At 35.7% G+C, this 25,815-nt stretch overlaps 1 protein-coding gene and 1 long non-coding RNA gene across 4 annotated transcripts in view; one reads left to right on the forward strand and one right to left on the reverse strand.

The window, feature by feature from the left end:
• The window catches only part of LRP1B (LDL receptor related protein 1B), a 1,899,594-nt gene that overhangs the window by 1,455,267 nt on the left and 418,512 nt on the right, over positions 1–25,815 (reverse strand). The window lies entirely within an intron of this gene.
• The window catches only part of LOC107985779 (uncharacterized), a 151,402-nt gene that overhangs the window by 75,242 nt on the left and 50,345 nt on the right, over positions 1–25,815 (forward strand). The window lies entirely within an intron of this gene.

A 25,815-nucleotide genomic window follows, 5' to 3' on the forward strand; every position in this document is an offset into this window, starting at 1 on the left:
ATGTTGAAACTTCATCCCCAATGTGGCAGAGGTGAAGCCTTTCAGAGGTGATTGGATCATGAGGGCTCTGCCTTAATAAAAAGATTAATCCATCAGTAGATTAAAGGGTTAATGGGTTATCATGGGAGGGGAACTGGTGGCTTTATAGGAAGAGGAAGACAGACCTGAGCTGGCAGGTTAGCATGCTCAGCCCCCTAGCCATGTGATGCTCTAAACTGTCTTAAGACTCTTCAGAAAGTTTCCACCAGCAAGAAGGCTCTCACCTAATGTGGCCCCTGAACATGGGACTTCTCAGCCTTCATAACTGCAAGAAATAAATTATATCCTTTATAAATTATATACTTTCAGGTATTCTGTTAGAAGCAACAGAAAGACTAAGAAAGATAAGAAGTGTAATTCTAAAAGTATAAAAACTCAGACTCTACCTTTGATTAAATGCAATAATAACTCTAATTGTCCTAACGTTCATTTTGAGCAAATGGGTAAAAACACTCTACAAAACTCAGTCATAAACTTTTATGTTATTTTGTCATAATCAGAGATGCCACAGTTTGGACAATACAGTTCACCAAATTGAAAACAACCTAGATAACATTAATAGGTTATTTACTCTTAGTGAAAATCTGACTTTATAATCATTACCCAATTACATTTTATAACAAGTTTGTGAGACGAGTAAGCCAAATATTCTGACTTTAAAGATGAATGAATGGTTCCAAAATTTATAATAAATTAATTAGCTACATTATTATTGAATTTGCTACTTAGCCATGTTTTCATCTTATAGTTTGCACCAGAAAAAAATACTAAATTATTTTACACTTTAGCAATTTATTGATATTTCATAGCTGTTGGTTCTTGACCACATAGAGTCAGTTGAATAAAAGTTTTGTTTTGGTTTTTATTAAGATAGAGGAGTAAAGCATTAATGGGTTAATAGAAACTTCTCCTGTTCCATGTTTGCATTTCATCTCTTAAAATATAATTTCATTTTTACCCTTGTGATTATGATATAGATCAAGAAATTTCTTTTTCCACGTGAAGGCTTTTTAGCAGTTCTGCAGGCTAGAAGATAGTCTGAAATAATCAATTCTACCAATTAAACTTCCATAGTAAGTCCTCTGGTTGAGAACTGACCTGGCATATTTATAGTTTATGGTTCACAGAATTAAAGCATAGTTAGTAAATGATTCAGGAATTTGGACATTTTTAAATAGAGGGTCTGCTGGTTTGGGCAAGTTCTCTATAAAAACATTTGCTCAAATGTAATTTTGCAATTCCAATTTTTTAATCTTTATTTATTAATAAATTATGATTTTTGAAAAAAAAAAACTCTTAAAATGTTCTGCGTACATGTTAATGTAGGTTAGGCCATCCAAAAGATAAAGCCAAGCATCAACATTAAGTCATGGGCTAGGATTATACAAATTAGAACAAATACAAGCTATTCCAATTTTTTTCCCTGTCAATTTTCTTTCTGTCACACGTTTTAGTTCAAATTTGTACATATAAATATACACACACACACACACACCCCTATTCTCACATGTATATTACACAGACATAGGCTATGTTCTCTTCATGTGTTTACGTTAATAATAGCTAACCGCTATTGTGCACAAAATATATGCCAAACACTGGTCTAAGTACCCTATATGGACTTACACATGTGATCCTTACAACAACCCTAAAATCCATGTTCTATTACTATTTATTCATACTAATTATTAATATCACATATTTTTAAAAACCTGAGGTATAGATGTTAAGTAACTTTTGTGAAATCAAATAACAAGTAAATAGTGCTACAGAAATATGAAGTCAAGCAAGTTGGGGCCAGAAAGTGTCATTTAAATCTCATAATAATGATGAAAGTGAAAGCAAATACCTCATTTTATAACTAAAGAAACTGAGGCCCAGAGAGGTTATATGATTTACGGAAAGTCAAACAATTGGTAAGTAGTTGAGAATTTCAACCCATGCAATCTCGTTCCAGAAACAAGTCTTGTCCACTTCGATATACTGCCACTTTAAGATATCTGCCTTTCTAGCACAGTTAAAGTCATTACGTCTATGTATCAAAAACCGTTTCAATTGAGAAGTCATGGAAAGAAACAGGGCTATCAAATACCTCTCCTTTCTTTACCTAGGATGGATGGGTAATAATGAAACACTCATCAACTAAGTGATAGAGAAATTATTATTCTGCCACCTTTCTTATCCCAGTTCATATGCAGTTCAAGATCATATCTGGCTTTTGACTATTTCCAATTCCTTGTCCTTTAACTGTCAGTTTTCACAATAAAATGACAAAAATCAGAATCTACTGCAGATGCTATCAATTAAAGTGCTGTCTCTCCCTCTTTGCAACCTAACTTTTCCCTAAGGAATTTCCTGGCTGAATCACAGGTGTTGCAAATACTGACTTCTGTTATCATTTTTACCATCGTTTTCCCTTTGTCTTTGAAGTCATATTAGCATGTCTTGTACAAATAAAATTAATTTGTGTTAATCACTGTTCTGGGCATTTTGCATATATCATTACTATTCTTCATAAGAGGAATTAAGGAAAATGCAAAAAGATTGGTAATTTATCCAAGGTAGACTAGCTAATAAGAGGCAGATTCAGGATTCTAATTCAGGTCACTCTGCCTCAAAACACTATCCTGTGTCCACTAATGGCATGGCTACACAAAACACAAACAAACTCCATTCTGCATATGTAGATAAGGAGAAAAACAATCTATAATAAGGAGAAAAACAATCTATACACATCAATTATAAACACATACATGATTTATATCCTTTAGAGTGTAGCTATCACTTTGTAGCAAATATGTATTGCTATTGCTTTATTGTATATTGTATATATAAGGGAAATTGTTTAGAGAAACAAAACTCATAATAAACAGCTCAAGATCTTTAAAAGCCAAATTTAATCTGAGATAATAGATCATTTTCTTCTCTTTTATCAATGACTAATTAGTGATGGAAATTTTGTTTTTCTCATCATAACTTAGAAAACTTCCTTGATAAAGGTTGTTTAATTTAGTACACATTTAAATTTTAAGCCAGCAGGGTTTTCTGCCTCATAAATATCTATTTTAGGATAGAATAAACACCAGTCAGCTGACTTATTTTTAAACAAGCTATGAAAATTTATTATGAAAATATTATTTCCTCCAGTATAAAAAGACTGATTGAAATGTAAATTTTCTATAGGATTTCTGATAGCTGAATAAACATAAAATATGGAGATATTAAAAGCATTATCTACTCTTGTAAATACTTGGAAGACTTTAATTTTGAAAAGGTTACAAGTCTTTCACAAGGTAAACATAGTAATGCAAGAGAAAAACTCTTCCATTATTATTTAGCTATATTCCTTCCTACTTTATAAGTTTGATTTATGCTTTTACAAGAATTGCTGTATCAATGAATTTCAATACATAGCTTGAAGGCAAAAGTTTGACTTCCAACTGCTTTTTCAGTCATCTTCATCTTTCAAATATTTAGAACATAAATTAGGCTAAAATTATATTGAATTTTATTATGCTTTACAAGCATGCTGCTTCTTGGTATTCCAATTAATTATGTTCCTTTGAATTTTTAGTACATGCTGTGGTACAGGTGTCCCATATGTTCAAGTTAATTGTAATTTTACAAGGAAAAATACACCAAATCCAGAAAAGGGATTACATCTATAAATATATATATATATATATATATATATATATATATATATATATATAATTACAAATATAAATACATTAGTCATGGAGGACTCTTTCTTGCTTGAAATTAGTTTGTATTTCAGTTTTACAACCTGGTTCATATAGAAGATGATCAGTTACAGTTGGGGTCAACTGCAAATAAACTAAGAAATATAATGTTAGATAATAGTGGTATACATTTGGTAGCTGACATCAATAACTAGGGATTCTGCTCTTATCTTTGCTAATCCCATAATTATTTTTGAGCCTAAAACTGGCACTCTGATACCAAACTCTGGTATCAGAGTTTGTGTCAAATTGTGATATAAAATATTAATTTCTAGAGGCAAGTTTTAGCCATCAATTAAGAATAAATACACCCTTCCTGGCAGTTTGATTCTGAGCTAATTTGCATTCAGCTGCAGTCCATCATATAAAAAGGAATGGTGTATGCTTTATTTCCTCCTCTTTCAGGGAGTCTCCCCTCTATTACAGTGAGTTTTTTAATGAGGTACAGCATCAGGACCACATGAGACATACGGGGGACGAAAGATACATTCTAAGAGCAAATGTAATTTAATTTAATTTCTTCGGGGGAAGCCAACAATTTATTGATGTTCTGGCATTTCTAAGAATGGAGTACTAGACAGACTTGAAGAAATGACTTCCTAAATAAAAGACAGGAAAACGAATGGGTCAAGAAAGAGAGTGAGTTAGTAATTACTGTAAGGACTTTGTTACTGTTGACTTTACCTAATAGATGGCCTGAGCAGGTTTTCATTAACCTGGTCCATTTATATTCCTATTAGATGTCAGCTGAAAAATACTAAGCAGCTAGGAATGACTCCTCTATTTTGACAAAGAAATGTATTTCTATAATGAATATTCAGTACAGGAGCATAAGGGAACTTGAAATATTATTTTCTAGTGTTCTTCTGATTTAGACCCAGAATTTATGGTGCTGTACTGTAGGCTGAACTGTCCCAGTGACCAGATGGAAACAGAATTTTTCTTCTGAGTAAGAAGAAAAGGAAAAAAAAAAAGTTGGCCAGGTAATCAGCCAACACACACACACACACACACGTTGCAAGGCATTTTGTCAGATACCTTAAGGTCTGCCATAGAATAACAGGCATGATCCCAGCCCTGAAGGATCCCATACTTTCAGTATGTCAAAGCAAATGCGGGGGTCAATTAATTTCTATACTGCATGATAATAACTCCAGGAGCTGCATCTAGACTTCTTTGCAGTATTTGCCATTATTAATTTTTCTATTCTTTGGAACACCTGTATGTATGATTTCAGTTGCTTCCAATTTTTGTTTATTTGTTTCTAGGCAACCTGGGCAAACTACTCAATTCATATGGCTTCTATTTCCTCCCCAAACTCCATCTTCAACCTAAACGTCTTCTGCACTCCACAATCCTTTATCCATCTGCCCCTGTACCTCTCCATGTGAACATCATATAGACAACTTGAATTCAGTATTTCTAACATGAAACTTATATTTTTTTGCATAAGTCTGTCACTTGTCTTATAGTTGATATCTCAGCAAACATCATGAATATCCTTTCTTTTTTCCAAATGACAATATAGTCATTATGCCTGACTCCTCATCCCTTCCTTCAGAAATCCTGTCAACCAGCACATTGTCTGAATTCTATAACTCCTCTGGCAGATTTTGGTTCAAGTCATCTTTCCTTGTTTAGATTAATGGAAATACAATTCAACTACTCCCTCCATTGATTTTTCTACAGAGTAACTAAGAGTAACTTTTCTAAAACTGACATTTGATAAATTCACTCCTCTACATAAAATCATTCAATGATTTCAATCCTCTCAGGATAGAATAAGTATCTATATGAAGAACTGCATGATGTTCTATGATCTGGGCCCTTTTCCATCTCTTACTTATCTATAAGTTTTACTCTAAAATTCAAGTACGCTAAACTACTGTGAATTCCCTATGTTTTTGCTCTCCACAAGGACTTTGAATCAACTGTTTCCTCATCCTGTAACTCCTTTTGTCCTATTCTTTGTTCCACTTAACCAATTCCTACTCATCTTTTCAGCATGAGTTTGTCATTGTTTCCCAGGAGAAGCTTTTTCTGGCATTCAGCTTCATCCAGGGACTGGCTTACCTTTTTAGCCTAAGGGCTTCCATTGCCCCTGTTCTTAACCTACCGCAGTAGTTTTCAGAGTACTCAGGACCCATTAGAGTCATGAGTCCCTCCAAGAAGGGTATATGTTCTGAGAAACGTGTGCTTAGGTCATTTTGCCATTGTGCAAACGTCATAGAATGTACTTACCAAACATAGATGGTGCAGCCTACTACACACCTAGGCTATATGGTGCAGCCTGATGCTCCTAAGCCACAAACCTGTACATTATGTTACTGTACTTAACACTCTCAGCAACTGTAATACAATGGAAAGTATTTGTGTATCTAACCATAGAAAAATACAGTAAAAATATGATATTATAATCTTATGAAACCACAGTCATATATGCAGTCTGTCATTATGCAGCACATGGCTGTACATAATTTGTGAGGCTCAGTGCCAAGGGAAAATGAGAGATCCATTGTTCAAAAATTATCAAGAATTTCAAGAGGGTGCTAGAAGAGCACTTAACCAAGTAAAGAGCTCTTCTAAGTACAGGGAACTTTGCCACTATGCAGGTCACGCATTTACCAGACTAAGCATGCATCTTGCTGCTTTTTCTGTCTTTATTGCTCACTAAATTGTAAGCTTCTTGAAAGTAGAGTCTTTTTGTCCTATGCCCCCATTACTTTTTCAGCAATTAGCATTTTTTTCTTGCCCGTAATTATTACTCAGAAAATATCTGTGAGTTCAATTCTCCATTCTGAGAAAAATAAATCACAAAGTGGGCATCAGTTATCTGGCAACAACCGCAAAATGAGAGGATTTGTCAACATGCTGTAATTGGGCATCTCCGGGAGTAAGATTAAATTGTAGCTTATTTTAATCTATAACCATTCCCAAATTTATTAAAGATATTAGTTAATGTTATGCATTATAAAATCTAAAAATATTTTAGTAAGAATTATTAAAACATAAATATATAATGTATTTATCAACTATAGATTTACATGAATTTGAATAATAATAGTAATTCAAATTCTTCCCAGTATTTCAGTGGAATGTAGATACTGCTGTGTTGGTTACTGAGATGCAATGGCCTCCAGTAGCACAGTGCTTTGTGCACACTGTGTGCAAATTTTCAAGGAGTACTAGATTTAGCCTTATACAGACAGATCATTTGTTTATTTCTTATTTAGTCCTTCCCTATTTTGTTTTTTACTTAAATAACTCATGTCTAAGGGATTCTTATCAATGCCCCTTCTCAGTCCCCTTGGGGTTTTAGATTCACTCTGCTTTTCCCACATTCTCTTGAATTTGCTGCCCCAAATACCTATCCAAACTCTGTAGATGGATAAAGCCTTCTAGAGTACAGAAGACATTCAGGTTGTAGATGGAGTCTGGGGAGGAAATAGAAGCCACATGAATTGAGAAGTTTGTCTAGGTTGCCTAAAAACACAAACAAAGTGGACTAGGAATTGGAGTGCAAATACCTGTCCAAACTCTGCAGTTTGACAAAAAGAGGGGAACTTTGAGAATGTTGAGTGTAGCACAAGATCGCGGAATGTAAATTCCTAAGCTAAGTGGTCCACGGTCTGCCATTTCTCTCCCTTTCTCCTCCCTCCTCCTCTCCCTCTACCTCTACCTCTCTAAGCCTTGGTTTCTTCACCCACAAAATGACATATTGGGATTCTACAACTTTGATGTTCTTTCCAGCTTTACCACTGCATCATGTGCCTTTCAGAATAGAAAAGGCTGGGCCTTGGGAGAGAAGCAGAAGTCAGATAAATGAAAGTGAAAAGGGAGGGAGGGCACTGAGGAAGACCTGGCCTAAGAGAGTCCTCGGCACATAGGTGACTGTGAGTGAGCCTGCCCTAGTGACCCAGCCTTAGTGCCACAAACATGGCCTGAGTGCATAATGTGCCAAGCTCTGTTCTGAGAACTTCTTGTGTACCAATAATTTACTCATCCCAACAATCACTCTTATTTTATCGATAGGGAAATTAAATCCCATGGCTAGTTAGTGATTGATTCAGTATTTTAAAATCATTCAGTTTGACCTTATTCCTGTGTCCCCATGATTAGGAAATCTCTAAAATCACATTTGGAAGAATTTGGGCTCATGATCATTCGATTGTTTCAAAAAAAAAAAAAGCACAATTTTCTCTTTTAGACATCACTTGGGAACAAATGGTGCTCTTTAGAAAGCACAATGAACATAAAGATATAATTCTTACAAAAATTAACAGGAAAGGAGCTACCAAATGGCAATGGATGAGAAAGGCATCTTGTTGCTTATTTTCTAGACCTCTTATTCCAGCAGATGATTACATTCCATTTCTGTCTTTTATTTCTCTTGCTGCATGATTTTTCACAGGCTTTGTTCTACACACTCATCATCTTTGGTATTCCTTTAGATAGTTTTTTCTTTTTTAATTCCCTATGTCTCTTTTCAGCAGATTGAATAAGCAAGGTAACATTCCTCTAAGTTCTCCATTCAATAATACTTTAAAAATGATGCTGGATTATTTCATGCCAGCATTGCCACATTGTGGAATGATTGTTCACATTGAACTTTTTAATTTGCACCATGCAGACTATCCCTCTCTTTCATGCCATTTATTTTTTCCCATACTTATCTTTATTAACTATAATTGTCTACAGCTGCTGTATTTACCGTTTTTCCTGCCTCAGATTTAAATTCAATCCTGTCACTTGAGGAGGTGCATAATATATACAAGGCAATTTGACATATTCTGATGCCTCCTGGGGCAAATTTACTGCATTTATATAAAAACATGAAAAGATAAGTTTTATTCTGTCCTCTTGTAAACTTCCTGGTAACCTAACATGGAAATATGCCTGACCTACTTTAAAAGGGTCATTGCAAAATTGCCTAATAGTGATAATAATGTCATAAGGTGCTGTAACAAGTTCTTCATGGAGACTAAATTACTTGATCTTCACAATAAATTTATAAAGCAAGTATTGTTATCCCCACTTTGAAGATGAGGAAGGCTTAGAAGTTATGTAACTTGGCATTTTCATGCTCTTGATATGTGATAAAGCTGATTTGAACCTGGTTTTCCTGACTTCATCCCAATGTTGCTATAAATAAAAGCAGCATAGCCTAAACAATGACTATGTCCTTAATTATCCTCACCACAAAAACACATATATCCCCTTAATAATTTAATGCCACTGTATTGTTAAAAAAAACCCAAAAACCAGATGAGGTCCTAAATAACATCGTATTCAAAAGCCCAGGGCCAAGTTTGGCTGAAAACATTGTAAAAATAGTTGATTCAATGTTACTGTCAAATTCTACCAGAAAACTAGCTGTGGCCTATATATTCTTTTACTTATTTTGTACTATAAGCACAATATCTTCCATTTTATGGATGAAAATTCTGTTTATGGATTGAAATAACAAATAAGATAGAATGAATTTAGTTCTCCTTGAACTACCTGTATTTCTACCTTGTGAAAAAAAATCTTGTATATCAAAACCTTGCTTTATACAAATCTATAATTCACAAATACCCTTTAATGTAATCTGTTTTCCTTAATCAGATAACTCAACTCATGGTTTACTTGCAAGAGTGTTCTAGATACAACTTCACTAATTTATTCTTCCTCTATCATTTTGCATTTTTAGCAGACTCAGTACCACCACAAGAAAAGATAAATTGCTACTAAAAGTAGGCTTAGAGTAGGAAGTACTACACTGTTGAAATAAATCTAAAATCAAACATAGGGTGCTTATTTTGACATTTAAAATACAAATATAAATGACCAATAAAATACTCATGTAACAGAATCACATGAAATCATCAAATAATCATGCTGAAAAGCAGAAATTATATGTTACTTTTAATATTGAATAAAATAAATAAATAATTCTGCAACCATATACAAAATATACCTTGTGATTTTGCTTTAAACTTATATTTACATTGCCTTTGATTAATAATTTAATCTCCACATTATTAATTCTGGTTTACCGTTCTGGACAATTTAAATTATTAACAGGGGTGCAACTGAAGACTTAGAACAACTCTGAATACCAGATGCTTCTCCAAAATATACAGCTATAAGCAGTCATGCTACAACATTCTATTTTGAAATTTTAGGAGTAAGAAAATTAAGATATAATACATCAATTTTCCCACATAATTTCTCAGCAGACAATGGGGAAGAACCACTATAGTGATTAAATAGATGGAGAGATTCAATTTTGAGGGAAGATTAAGAAACTAAATATGTAGAAGTTGGCTTGGTGACCACTAACTGAGAGGGGATATGAGTGACTGTTTTTATATTTGAATGACACCTTCAAAGACGGACATTAATAGTTTGCCACCTGGCAATGAGCAATAGTCAAAAGAAATGGGCGATGTTAAAAGAAACATACAGAAAAATCTATAATAATAATACGGTAATGTAATAATAATCTTTTGTGTATCATAGAACTGTCCTTATAAAAAATAAGATAGGTCAGTTTTCTTAATTTTAAGGGCAGTCATTTTTATAAATAAGCATATCACGTTCTTTTTTTATTTTTGCTAGCCAGACATGTTTAAACATAACACATATCATTTTACCATTTTTAAGTCATATTAAAATATATTTTACATGGCATTCTTTCAAAATTAGAAATTTGTAGTTGATAAAACAGCCGTTTCTTCTCTACATTATTTTAGTAATTAAAAAATAAACAGTAATCAGCATAAAATTTGTCACCCCATGCATTTTAACTTAAAAATGAATGTGTACTAGCTGGACTATTAGCTAATGGTTTATAAAATAAGGATCATAAAACATAGTAAGTCACCGAATCAGTACAGCATTCCCATCTCATAGGTAGAGGGTTGCTGTTAGGCTCAATCTCATTTACTCTCCTTGTTAATGTCCTGAAAGAGGCAGTAAATATGACATTTGTTACTTTCATATTACATTGAAACGTGCATCGGGAATACAATTTATTTCAGAAGCAAATATTAGACTACCTGAAGAAGCACTGGAAAGTAAATATAGATAGTTAAATGTAAAGATAACAATCAATTAGGATGTTTTCCAGAAAAGATGGTAGCGAAATGGGTAATGTCATATGGAACTTGTATACCAGGATAGATCCCATAAGCCTCTTTGGTAATGCTGCATGTAGTGCTACTCAGCCACCTGAACATCAAACATGCTTGAAACGAATTAAGAGTCATCAATAGACTACAGAACTACAGATTTTCTTCTATAAGAAACAATTGGCTCCATTTCTGTGAAAGTGGCTACAAATAGCATTCAAAACTAGAAGAAGACTAGGTGGTAAAACCCACAGTACATCAGCAGGAGGAAGGTACAGCACTCAGCACTGTTGTACACTTTAATATGATGATTACTATCATGATGCTAATGCTAGCTTTAGCTTACGGTGCTTCTACCCTCATTATGTTTAGCACCAACATTCTCTGTTTCTGAGCTGTACAGTATTAAATACGGTGAGGAGGTAGCAGAGTAGGAGCTAGAGGTGCTAAAAGTCATCTCTTGGAAGGACAGTTGCTGCTTTTTCAGAGAAAAGCTTAAAGGTCAGTGACTGCATGAAAGCATTCTTACTTTGTGCTTACATTCCCAAGCACATTTAAACTTTTTTTGGCGGTGGAGGGTGGCGAGGTAGGGGGCACTTAAAAGTCACTCAGTGATTGCTTCTGTGGAGTATAGAACCTCTAGGTGCTGGAAAAACAGTTGTGAGCAAGGCAAAAGAAAATCCTGCTCTCGCACATCTTCCTACCGAGTAGAAAGTTTAGACAATTATACAGAGGATAACAATAAAGAATGGTGAGTGCTGTACAGGATGCTCAGAAAACCAACAGCAGGTTGGCCTAATGGACCCAAGAATCAGGGAAAGTGTTCCTGAGAAAATATCAGTGAAACCTAAAGGGCTCACTTGTTCTCTAAGTGAGATCCAGACATTGCAAAATCTGTTGTACACTTAAAAAAAAAAAAAAAGAGTTTGACTATTTTTTGCTTTTGACAGATTGAAACAGTTAGGTCAATCAAAATAGTAAATGGGTTTTGAAATCCACCTATCTTCAAGCTATGTTCAATAGCTAGATTTCCATAGTCTATTAAACCCCTTCTTGAATTTCTCTGATTATCTGACTGAGCTGTAGCATATTCCAAATAGAAATTACTCAATAGCAACTGCAGTATGTTTGTGAAGAAATTTCAGAACGGAAAAAAAAAAAGAGCTTAGGGCATTAACTTAGAGCAGTGATTTTCAAATTTTGAGTACATGAAGTTCTTTACGGTGCTTAGTAAAAATTTGGATTTCTGCCCCTGCCCCACTCCTAATGAAATTATTATGAAGGTCTGTGGCTGGGCTCAATATGTTGTAGTTTCAGCCAGGACCCAGAGTTATTTTGATGCAGGCATTGCAAAGCCACACCTTGAGAAACATGGAATTGGAGGATGTGTTAACAGAGTTAGCTACTCTTATTTGAAGACAGCAGAGATAATTTATTCTCTTCTCTCATTCTCTCTGTCTTTCCTTCATCAGAATCCTATTTAACCCACAGGAATTGGGAAGAGGTTTCTCTGTAAATAGCCTAAATCCTATTCATAAGCACGAAGAGAGAAATTTAAAAAACCCAATATTTCCCAGCCTGGCTTCACATTAGAATCATCTGGGGAGCTTGAAAAAATTACTGATACCTGGTCTCTCTTCCTAGAGACACTGATTGGGTCCCCAGTAGTGTTTTAAGTTCCCCAGGTGATTATAATGCACATCAGGGTTGCTAACCACAGGCAACCAGGAAAGACAAACTATTTATTTAGCATTCTCTGTGTTACAGTTCCTTTGTTAGATGCTATAGATGTCTATACACAGATACGTTTTCTTTAATAGTCACATCATTTGTAAATGTTGATAGTGAACCCAATGACTAATCACTCCAAGGGCACAAAAGGAGAGTCAGGATTACAATTTTGAGCCGCTTAATTTAATGCCTGTGTTTATTTTTAATTAGTTGATTTTCACTCTTACCCTCAATACAAAGTGTTTGTTATTTTTTATATTTAACCTGTACCCTGTTACAACCCTGGATCACCTCTCCGGTGCCAAAATATGCTTCTGTATGGTGGCATAGCCTTCCAGCCAAAAGTTCTATTTTAGAGATATTATAATTCTCCAGTGTGCAGTATTTGGCATATAGTATGTACACAATAGTGTCAGGTTTTGAAATGGCCTTTCCAGTAGTATTGTACAAGCATGTGAATATTTGCCGTATTTTGAACTTTGTTGCCTTCTAAAAGTATGACAAATGGAAAATGAAACCGTTGACACTAGAAATGGTAAAAGCAAAACTGGCATTACGAGATAGCCCAAATGAAATATATTCTTAGCCTCCAGGGCACATTCCTTTGTCATCTGCTGATTTACTCTGTGTTAAGAAAAAGATTCAACCAAAGAATATACATAATGTCATGGAACTCTACCTTTGAAACTCATATGTAAATATGAGGTTTAGTGTGAGAACTAAAGAGAACTTTAGATATTGCTTTATGCATCAGTACATTTTCCTGCCATCTAAGGGTAAACTTCTGTTCATTAGGCTTCTGGTAAGTACACAGCTTCTTAGAGAAAAATTAATCAAGCAAAATAGTGTGGTTATTAAATTTCTATTGACATTTTTAAAACTCTGGTAAGATACCTTCGACATTATTGTAACGTTCTACTCAAATCCCATGTAAAAGCTGGTATTTGTTTATTCCCCGCTGGCAGACTGTAAACTCCATGAGAGCAGGTGCCTTGTCTATTTTTTTACTTCTGTATTCCCAGTGCTTGGAATAGCATCGATTTATCAAAATAATAAAGGAAAACACAAGAAGAAGCCTCATCCTTAATGTTAAAATTAGTTTCTTTATTCTAAAATTGTAATCTCATATGACCTAAGAGAATAATATATTGAGCTAACGTTTTTCATTAGAAATGTTTCCTAATTTTTACATGTAACCCATAAATTATTATGTGCACACCTCTGGGCCTCAGAAAACAATAGCCCAAAGTGAAGGCCTCAGAAGCAAAAGGTTTTCTCTTACCTTCTCCTGCGCTATTTCTCAGTGCCATTCTCCCCGAAGGCTAGCCATAGAAACTAGAATCCCTCTTCCCCAAGGTGAGTCATAGAAACCAGAATCCCTTTTCCCAAAATCCAGCCATAAAACCTAAAAATATTACACGAACTTTCCATCCTCCTTTAAGGAGAACTTGTGCTTGATGCCAAAATGAACTGGAAATTTCTCAGGGAATTAGAGGATCAATGTGAGCTACCACATAATAAAGGAAAAAACATTCTGATAAGGTACCTAAGATGTATTTACAAAGTCTACTCTCAATATCTTACTGCTTCAAATTTCCTTCTGATGTCCCCATATTTATTAAGGGCATCAGCAGCTAGGTTTGAGATTTTGATATCATATCTCCTCAAGTTTCTTCTCAAATTTCTTAGAATCTAATTCTCCTCTTTGTTTCCTGATTGGCATCTAAATTTACTGCTCTTGGCTAAAGCTGTGTCACTGTGATTGGACTACTGCCTTCCCTGGATTGCCTGGCCCCAAAACTTCATCCAAACCATTGTAGAAGTTAATCTCACTAAAATGGATCTGAACACATTACAGCTTTGCTTATAAACTTTTGATGTTTTCTACTGTCCACAGGAAAATGTCCAAATTCCTTAGTATTTCTTACTTCATTCTGCCACATCTGGTCCTCTAACCACACTTAGCTGCTCACTGATCCCTGAACACATCACTCACTTTCTGCCCACTGTCTTTAATCATATTGTTCTCACTAATCCTGGTGTGGCATGCTTTACCCTTGTCTGTATGATGGACTCCTAAGCATCACAAGAACAACTCAGCATGCCACCCCTTCTAGGAAATCATTCCAGATTCACAGACAGAATTATTCCTTCTATTCTTATGTCCCTTGACTCAGCATATCTGGGTTCACATCTTGACGCCATTACTTATAATCTAGATGTCCTTGGGAAAGCACAAGAAACAAGGTTACTGCTACCCCCAAGAACCTGCCTCAAAGAATGGTTGTGAGGATTATGTGGGCTAATTGAGGACATCATTTAAAATAGTGCCTGGAAGATAAGTATTTAATAAATGATATTAATTTTATTTTCAAAACGAATCTACAGGCTTTTGAATGTTACATTGCCCTAAGACAGTCTTCTCATGCTAAACTATAAACTAACACGGGAAGTTGACTAAAAGTCAGTGTTCTGTTTGCATTCGGGTTTCTAGTGCCAAAAGCAGTATCTGGAATAACTCAATTTTCAATATTTATTTAGTCCTCATTGTTTATACAATTTGATGCTACAGCCAGATTTACAAAGAGACAAATGTGATTGTCCCAATCCTCTAGTAGTTTATAATGTATTTTTGGAAGTGAATAATATATAGACTGCAAGAAATTATGCTATTTATTTTCAAACCAAATGCCAAACAACCACAGAGTTCTTCAGACCAAGGCAGGCACAATCCCTGATGATAGAAGGAACTGGGGAATATCCTTGAAACAGAAGAACTTAGAAGGGTAAAATGATGATATATCCTAAACAAGGTATTTTAAGTGGGCGACACTGGGTGAAAATGGCATGGAGGTAGGAATGACCATGGTTAGATCAATTGGCTTAGGTAGAAGTTTTTGTAGTATCGTAGTACACAACAGAGGTTACCAACTACAATGCTTATAGGCAGGTGAAGAAAATGAGGGAAACAGGTGAAGTATAAGGCAATAAGAATTTCTGGCAAACTAGAGGGATGATCCCAGAAGCAAGGAGGCAGCTTCCCCTCAGCTATAATGTAACCGTTGTCCCCTGGGGATAGGTCCCAAGGTAGCTAGGGCACATGCTTTTAAAAATGAGATCTCTTCTGATTTTTAAACAGGAGTAACTACTTTCAACATTTTATAAAACACTCTGTAAATCCAACAAATTATCCTTACCAAAAACTGCTGGCTGCCAGTTAATAGACCTTTGGAAAAGTTTGAGGTGGCCACCTGTAGGTCTAGTTCCCAGTGGGGACATTGATAAAAAATTCACAGGTTAGTAGGGAGCTAGTGAAGGTTTTTGAACTGTTTTGAAATGCTCAGAAATGTTTTAAGCATATTTTTCCAGGAAATTGTTTGCAAGATGGATTATTGAAAAAAAAGTCAAGATGCAAAATGTCCAGTGTGGAAATTATTGTCCTAACCCAGGTGTGAGGTATTAAGGCCCAAACAGTTGTGGGACTATAAACGGAGTGATGTAAGGTTGAAAGTAAACTACTTGAGCTTCTTTCTAATTTTAGCTGATTCAAATTAGGTTTTTGTCTGCCCAAGTTGTGCTAATTGCTCCCATTTCTCTTATTTCTCCTTTAATCAAGGGATTTACATAAGTGAGCTCATTAAAAGAAAGTCATGCCTCACCAAATGAACCTTGCCATTCTGTGTAATAATTATAGCACAAAAGGAAAGGTTAATCTGATTATATATAATAGGATAAACAGAACATTTTCAACATCTGTGCTGAGTTGTCCTGAATGTTTCTTCTATGTCCCCTAACAAGTACAATCATATATGATTTTCAGTAAAAGTCATTTTTGCATTCATGGTTTTAAATATTAGAAAAGTGTATGAATAAGCAGTTATTTCTAACCTAAGGAAAGAATATCATATTTTAAAATACAGGTGTTATAAGGAACCTCTTGGCTAAAGATTTTGCATACTGTTACAAAGACAACCAAGAAAGACAAACCTGTGCTTACTGTTTGGTGATAAAGCATAATTACCTGAATTTTCCTCTCCAGGGTGTTAAATTAAAAGGCAATGGTTAATCTATGGCTCATGTTAGCCTGTTTTTATGTATTAATAACACAACGATTACGGGTAATTCTCTTTCTTATGAAATTAAAAGCTTTCACAAGAACATCATTCATCTCAGTGATGATTTGCATTACTTCCAGTACAGAGAGAAAACCATTATGGATGTGTGCCAAGGCACTTTGGATTGTCGGCTCATTCTTTGAGTTTTAGAGGGATAGTATTTTTAATTTTGAAGTCCTTTCATTCAACTCCCACATACCAATCCCTGTCTTGAGCTTTCTGAAATGAATCCTGCAGCTAGCAATATCAACTAGAGTCATTTAATCCCTAAATCACACATCCTGAGTTTAGCACCTCCCACAGTGATATTGCTGAGGATGCATATAACAGAAACCCTGGTGCAAAAACAGAAACTCTGGCAGGGGGTTACATCGGCCTAACTAGCTTTGTTCATTTGCCAATGAGCTGGCTATATCAGTTTAGATAGTAACTCGATTTTCTAAACCATACTGATATACTGTGATGTAAGAAAAATCTCTCATTACAAAGGATGCCTGAAGTTGCCACTCCCATTCTGCCACTTTTTTAACATTTTCTTCTCAATATTTTGCTGATTTCTTGCCACCTCCCAGGTCTCCAGTGATTCTGATGAGAGATTTTATGTATAGTTTAATGGCAGAAACTCAGGCTCAATTAAAGATAAGCCAAGTAAGTAGTCCATTTTAATGAGAAAAATGAAAAATGAGGAACTCAAAGGATTGTTAAGTAATATAATGTTCTTGGTGAATGACTTCTTTGCATTAATGCTTAGATCAGGAATATTTTTGAAAGTACATTCAGTGTCACGATGCACGGGGATTTTATTCCATTGCACTTCTTTTCCGTTTCATTTACTAACCTTTTTCTTATTCAAAATGGTATCAGTTAAAATGCTTTATTAAGCAGAACTTCTCTACTTCTCATGTAAGGGTGGTTTAAAAGATCAACTTGAAACACAACATGATATTTTGAAGTGCCTTCTCAATCATCAAAGAAGTACGTACACTTTTATTATCTAATTCATTTTATTCAACGTAACATATAAAACCCTCCATGTTCTTGAATTTGAAATTTAAGATTTCAACTTTCCTTAAGACCCTTAGAGAACCACATAAGTTCAATTGCTTCTTGCTCCCCACTGCTCCCCCAGTGCAGCCCCACGTCTTCTTCCCCTAGGTGTTGTGTAACATGCATAATGCATATTGAGTTTGTACTTTATCTCCCTTGTTAAAAATAAGCTTAGCAGTCATCTCAGACTAGATGCCTGAAAGCATCTGATTCATATTTTCTTCCTCATATCTTTGGTGTCCTGGCAGTAGTCTCTTCTAACCACATGCTTTCTCTCCAAGGATCCGCCCATATCTTCCCATGTCATCAACCATTATCTGGTATAATTGACTATATCTCTATTTCAGGCTGTTCATATGAGCTCCAAATCCCTAGTTTTAGTGGCTTATTGGACATTTTCCTTTGGTAATCATCTGATTCAAACTCAAAGGACATAAAATTGAGTCCCTTATATCCTCTTTTCTCAAAGCTGTATCTTATAGGTTACTGGTTATATAGTAAAAGGTTAATACTTTTTTTGAGACAAAACATCTGCTCCTTGGGGAGTTTACCATGTACCACGTACTAATCTAAACTCCTTACAAACACCACCTCACTTAATTCTTATAAAAACTATGAGAAAACACATTATTAACCTCATTTACTGGGAAAACTGAGGCATAAACACATATAGTTTAAACCCAGGTAGTTTGACTCTGGAACCACTGTATTTATACACTTTAACTGCCTATCTATGATCAGAAAAAAATGTAGGCTTGAATATCAATTTCTGCTATGTCATTTTGAGCAAGTAACCTTATTTTTTTGAACGTCAATTTCTCCTTCTATGGAATGGATCACCACATTTCCTCATAGGATTTATGTGGGGAAAGCCCTTTATATAGGGTGATCAATCCATCCCAGTTTACCAGAGCCTTTCTCAGCTTCAGCAATAAATGTTCCATGTCCCAGAATCTCCTGAGTACTGGGAAAATCATGAAGGTAGGTCACTCTACCTTTAAATGTAGGTAGTGCTTAATGATTGCTTTTTCTAACTCAAACCTGTTTACTAACACATTGTGCTAATGCTAGTGCTGTAAACATTATTCTACGAATTCCTTTCATTTCCATGGTTACTCTTCCACAAAGAATAAACTAAAAATTGTAACTACCATTTAGTCAGTGCTTACTGTGTTCTGGATACTATTCACGAACTCAGACTTTATTTTCATTTCACAGATGAGCTGCAAAGGCCTAAGGAATTGAAGTGTCTCTTGCTAGTATTCCAATGATACTGGTAGGTAGGGGAGCAAGTATTGAAATGCAGGTCTATTTAACTCCAAACAGATGCCAAGGTTTTAAATATCCCTCATATTTATGATAGTTCCCCTGAGCTAATCATGACTTTTCTGTTCCTAAATAGTTATTCCATAGCATGCCATTCAATGATTATCATATTCTGCCCCCAACCCACATTTCCAGATTTATTTTTCTTTTAATTAGTATAATAGATTCGACTTCACCATTCGACAAAAATTTGTTTCTGTTTAAATAGAACACGACTAAGTATAATCAGGAAACATTCATGCTTCCATTCCTATAAACCTATATGGAAATTTAGGTAAGCTCGCATGAATAAAGCCCAAAATCTTCAGGATGACTCTGGAGACCCTTCATGCTATCATGCTTCCCTCCAATGCAATCTTTTCTAATGTATGCCATCTTTCATTCTCAGTGGAACACTTACTTTACCTCAACGCTGAGGAATAAATTAGGACACTTTCAAGTGTTTATGACCTTGCTCATGCTGTGCCTTTTGATTGGATTGTCTTCTCCGCCATGTAAATTGCTTACATTCTTCAAGAAGGCAGACAACGAGGCACAGAAGAGAGACTGTGTCTCATTCATCTTTATGTTTTCAGAACCTAACACTACATAAGGTGTGTAGGAAATCCTCAGTAAACATTTTTGTGTTCAATCAAATGCATTGACTGTAGTTACTAAGCAGTGACAGAACTGGACTAAATTCTACAACTCAACTCTCAGTGTGGTGAGTATCCTGTTACACCAACCTGCTTCCAAGTCCTCTGGCAGACTGAAGAAAATCAATTAAATCATGTTTTCCTCCATTTCTTACTGAAAATAATTAGAGCTGATCCTTGGCATTGCTATACAGAAGGAAAGTATTCAAAGGCAGAAAGCAATGTGATCTTCAGAACACACAAATGTGATATTTTAATTCTTCGATATTCTCTCTTAATATCTCGTTAGGCCAAAAAAGTATGGATTATGTAAAATTTTCATAGCCTCACAAAATTAAGAAACATATATTTTTAATCACTTCAAAATTCATTACATCTACAAATTAATACTAATATTTAGTTCTAATTACTACTTAAAAACTAGTAATATTTGATTCTACTCTACTGATAATTTCTAATTTCTATCTTAGGCAAAAAGCCATGTTATCACCAGAACTTTTATCAGCCAAGGTATATACTGTACATTATTTCAATTTATTCCTCTATCTCCTTATCAATAGACAATCAAATTACCTAATACAGGCCACAAAAGAAATACAGAGGCTGAGCAAACATGAAGAAGTAATAAGTTTTAGGTCTCTGAATGTCTACCGGCATTAGGAAAATCAGTGTAATTTAAGTGCATTCACATTAATGACCATAGGTATATGGACTATGACTTTACCTTCTGGAATGTGTGACGGTTTTGTTTCTTGTTCACTATCCCTTATATACGCCATTACCAGATTCACCCAGGCTAAATCTCACAGCAGCAGTGAGAGAGGCAAATGTCACGATTTGCCAGGGATCTCTCTTTTCTATTCCTCATCCTGAATACCCAATAACTATGAACAAAAGGTCCTACTGTTCTCAGCATCCTTGATTCAGCCATAAAAATCCATTCCTAGGAAGGATCTGATACCAATTCTCCATACTGTATTGTGAATTTGTAGTATTATCACTCCTGGGAACATTTGGCCCTTGAGATTCACCTCAGATGAATATTAGAAATCCTCTATTTAAGGGATTTGGGGCATCAGAGAAATGTTGTGGCAAGTTTCTAGAGGCACTCCTGCAATTACTGCACACACAGGGCTGTGAAATGCTAGTTGTGTCTGCACCACTGTTGAAAATACATGTTCTTTATGTTCTTTGGTCAAAACAAATTTATTCAGTGTCTGCCACGTGTCAAGCACTTTGTTATATCCTGCAGAGGCAGAAATAAACTGACTGTGCAGTCTAGTTAGAGTGACAAATGTAAGAACACGTGATTATCATGCCAACAATGACTGCAATAAAAGAGGCAGGTGTAAAACACCGTGGGAGCAGGAGACAGCCTGCCAGATTCACTCAGCAACAGGTATCTATTAAGACCCAACAACTTGATAGGCATTGTTCTAGGTGTTACATTTGTGTACTAAGAATTTTTTTAAATTAGAAACTGGAAATCTTCTAACGTTTGCCACAGATTCTTTTTACATTTATAGCATCTTTGTGTTGCTTCAATCAGCAGTTTTGAAATATCAAAGAAAAGTGCCTTCTAAGTGGCACATTAGTTTAGGCAACTTTCAAAACTCTGATGTTAAGAAAATGATGGGGAGTAAAGGACAAAAGAAAATATAATTATTTCCCACTTGCTCTGCTGATATTTCCTAGAACTATCCCCATTCCAAATTAATGGCACACGTTTACCTATGTAACAAACCTGCACGTCCGCACATGTATCCCAGGACTTAATATAAAATAAATTAAAAAAAAAACAAAATTAAATCTATTTATGTAAAATGTATTCACCCCTAGATAGTGTAATGATATCAAAGGGGTGATAGAACAACACAGATGTCTTCTGGATGCCAGACAGCACCTCCTTCTTGCAGGCTACTTTTAACAGGGGTCAAATGAGCAGCAGACAGAGTTGGTTTTTCCCTTTAGGAATAGGAGGTCTTGAGAGCAGGACAGGAGAAAAGGGACTCACCTATGATGGTGCAAGCACACACATACCGACACATGCTTACAATCTATTTTTAAATAATTAATACAAATAATAAAAGATGCAGTTTTTGGACCACTTTCCCCAAACTTCCAACAATTCCTCCTGCTGATATTTTAAATATTCTATACTGCTTTTTCTAATGACTCTTCATTATAGTCTTAATGACCACCTGTGATGAACTGAATTGTGTCTCCCCAAAATTTGTATTTTTATGCATCAGAATGTAACTGTTGTTGGACATAGGGTCTTTAAAGAGGTGACCAAATTCAAATGAAGCCTTTAGGGTGGGCTCTAATCTAATCCGACCGTGTTGTTATAAGAAGAAATTTGGATCAGAGATGCATGCACAAAGAAAAGGCTACATGTGAGGCCACAGCAAGCAGCAGCCATCTGCAAGCCAAGGAGAGAGGCCTCAGAAGAAAACAAACCTGCTAATACCTTGATCTTGGACTTCCAGCCCCTAGACTTGTGAGAGAATAAATTTCTGTTGCTTGGTACCCAGTCTGTGGCATATCATTATGGCAGCCTTAGCAAATTAATACATTATCCTATCAACATATAACTTTTATAGTCTTTTAAAAAATGACCCCTTTTGGGGACAGGTGTGGTGGCTCGTGCTTGTAATCACAGTACTTTGGGAGGCCGACGCAGGCAGATCACAAGGTCAGGAGTTCAAGACCAGCCTGAGCAATATGGTGAAACCCCGTCTCTACAAAAAATACAAAAATTAGCCAGTTGTGGTGGCATGTGCCTGTAGTCCCAGCTACTCAGGAGGCTGAGGCAGGAGAATTGCCTGAACCTGGGAGGCAGAAGTTGCAGTGAGCCAAGACTGCACCATTGCACTCCAGCCTGGGCAACAGAGTGAGATTCCATCTCAAAAAATAAAAGAAAATAAATAAAATAAAATAAAATAAAATAAAATAACCCCTTTTGGAGAATGTGCTCTGGGCCAGACTGTCCTCATCCCAACTATGGCTCTGATTAAAAATGGGCAGCGATGCATTTTGTAAAGATACCGAGGAAGTACTAATGATGCCTTAAAGAATTTATTAGACTCCAAGTTTTGAATTTCTTTGTTTGGTTTTAGAGTTTGCTGTTTATTGAAATGTATTGAGATAGAAAAAGTATTAAGACGTATGAGTAAGTTAGAAATGTGTACATCAGATTATCAGAATCTTTTCTGAGAGTAGATTGATAAAATAAGGACACAAAGCCATCACTATACGTGGTGTGTGGGCAAAGGGGCTCCAAGGGAAAAAGAGATGGCTAAGGGCTAGAAGGTGAATTCTGACAACCAGATGGGTTTTAATAAGATCGGTGTCTTAGTTTCTTTGTGTTGCTATGGAATACCAGAGATTGGCTGGCTTATAAGTAACAGAAAGTTATTTCTCACAGATCTGGAGGCTGGAAGTGCAAGATCAAGATACTGGCAGAGTCAGTGTCTTGTGAGGGCCTGTTTCCTGATTCATTGACAGCTGTGTTTTCTTGGTGTCCTCACATGGTTGAAGTACAAGGGAGTTCTTTGGGGTCAATTTTATACGGGTATTAATCCCATTATAAGGGCTCCACTCTCATGACCCAGTCACCTCCCAAAGGCCCCCAAATCTAAATACCATTACACTGGGGGATTAAGCTTCAACATATGAATTTTAGGAGTACACATTTAGTCTATAGCAACCAGCATTGCCTTTGTATGACTACTATTTCTAAAATTTAAATTGAATACTATTCTTTTTTACTATCACAACCCTCCTTTACCTATTGTGTATTTTCCTATTCTTTACTCTCAAAATGTCAGGTTTTAAAAAAATTTTCCTTCTACATTGTCTTTTAAATATATTCAGGAGGATGAATACTGATTTTTTTTTGTTGGGAAAAGCTAGCAGGAACTATACTATCAGCAATTATTAACATTATCATTATTTATCTTGACAAAACACCTTCAATAATTAAAGAGTAAAGAGCAGCTACCCTGTGATTGTCACAGTAAATTACAGAATTTCAGTGGGCTTTTGAGCATGGAAATGTGATACATTTCAGGATTAGGTTCTTCCACTCAAGTGCATCACCTGTTGCTCTATCTATAGGGGTTGAAATAATAGCCAGGACAAGAGCCATTCTGGATACTGCAAAAAGATCTGTTTCATAGAGGAAGTACTAATGATTTCCGAAATAAAGCTTCACTTGAAACTACTGAAATTCAGAGATTCAGATATAAAAGGAAAAGTAAAATACAGTGAAAAGATTCTCCAACTAAGATTTAGAACCACAAATACAGGTCATGGAGGATGTGGAATTCACCTGAAAGTGACCTTTGGTTATTGCTACAAACAGGTCATCTCGACATTCATTAACTTGAGAGCTTAGCCAAGGTAACACTGACCTGATTTAATGATCACTGTCACTTGTTTTGTATCAATAAAGTATCATCGAAGTTAGAATACATCCTTTCCTACATTAGATTGATTTTGTATCATTATTTTCTTCTTTTATTTGTTCCAGGAGTAACCTGGGAAAATATATTTCTAGCCTTATGTATGCCTTGTTAATTCCATTGCTTCTGCCAGTGTTCTAGAAATTATTCTCCCCCTTTCATCCCTGGTCTTTAGGACAATTACAGTGTCTGTCAGTTCCCCTAATTTTACTTTCTCTTATTTAGTCCTGTGATTTGGTCAGGACATTAACCCTAATGCAAAACCATACTTGAAACTCCTTATGGGTGGTCCCTGGTACCACCCATGTATGGTGTGCCAACCCAACCAGAGCTGACTTGGCAGGTAGCATACATCTGACTCTAGCTATCCAACCACATTCTCTCCAGGGAATATTGGAATTCGAACCAGGAGAAGTCAAGTAGTTCAACTAGACCAATAATGAAATCTGTAGTTAGATTAGTTTGGCTATCAAATGTGCAGAAGCAGAGAAAAGGAACTGAAGAGTACAAAGGATGAAGCTGAATTGCAGAGAAAGGCATAGAGGAGATACCATGTAGAGACATTAGAAGAGAGCTAGAGAGTGAGCATGAGACAGCAAGAGCCATGGAGAAAGTAGCTGCCTCAGCAAATGACAGTTCCCTAGTTGCTGGTTTGAGGCTATCAAAAAATGCATCTGTTCTTTCTTGCATTTCTAGCAATACCCCTGATGCTTTAAAATAAAATTCCCTTTAATATAGATGTTAAACTTACATAAAATATAAAATTCACAAAAGTCCTTAGTTACATTCACAGGCTCCCTTACTCTCAGGCACTAAAGTCCTACTCACAGTTTTCTGATTTCCCTTTGGATCTTCCTACCCTGATAGGGACATATGGTTCAGTTCAACTTTCCTCCAGTTACAACACACTCCATCCACAGACACATACAGCTTCATGTGACTTTCAGCTAACTAGATCCGTCTCAAGGGCATTTGCTTTTTAACTGGAGTTTTTCTGTCTCTCCCTCTTCTTTTTCTCTCTCTGTCATAAATATGAACACACACAGACACACACACACACACACACACAACTTCATACACTTTGAGAACTGTGGGGAAAATGAGCCCTAATTAGCTCCCTTGAGTTCATGCAATATGATATACGAAGTTGCTTACCCCACCCACACAAAAAGGGAGGACAGCCAAATTCACTTGAAAATCAAATGTATATAAATAGTGTTTATTTTCAATGTGTTCTAATTAATATGACAATTAACTTTCCCAATTTGGGAACATTAATGTTTAATGTAATGCCAATTGGAACTCAGAAAATTTGTAACAGAAAAATTTATGATCATTGGGACTCATCTAGGTGGGTTACTACCTTAAAATAGTGCCTTTTTAGTTTAATAAAATGTTACTTTAAAAATGCCACAGAACCAGTATCACGTCAACTGTACTCCAGCCTGGGTGACAGAACTGAGACCCTGTCTAAAAAAAAACAAAAAAAGCCACAGACCTAGTTATTAATTATATAATGTATGATTATTCCAAGTATAGGTCATGTTATCTTTAGCCCAAAGGAGTGGCCGTGGGATCCTGAGCAAGCCACCATTGAT

Source organism: Homo sapiens, chromosome 2 (genome assembly GCF_000001405.40).
Source record: "Homo sapiens chromosome 2, GRCh38.p14 Primary Assembly".
Taxonomy (NCBI): domain Eukaryota; kingdom Metazoa; phylum Chordata; class Mammalia; order Primates; family Hominidae; genus Homo; species Homo sapiens.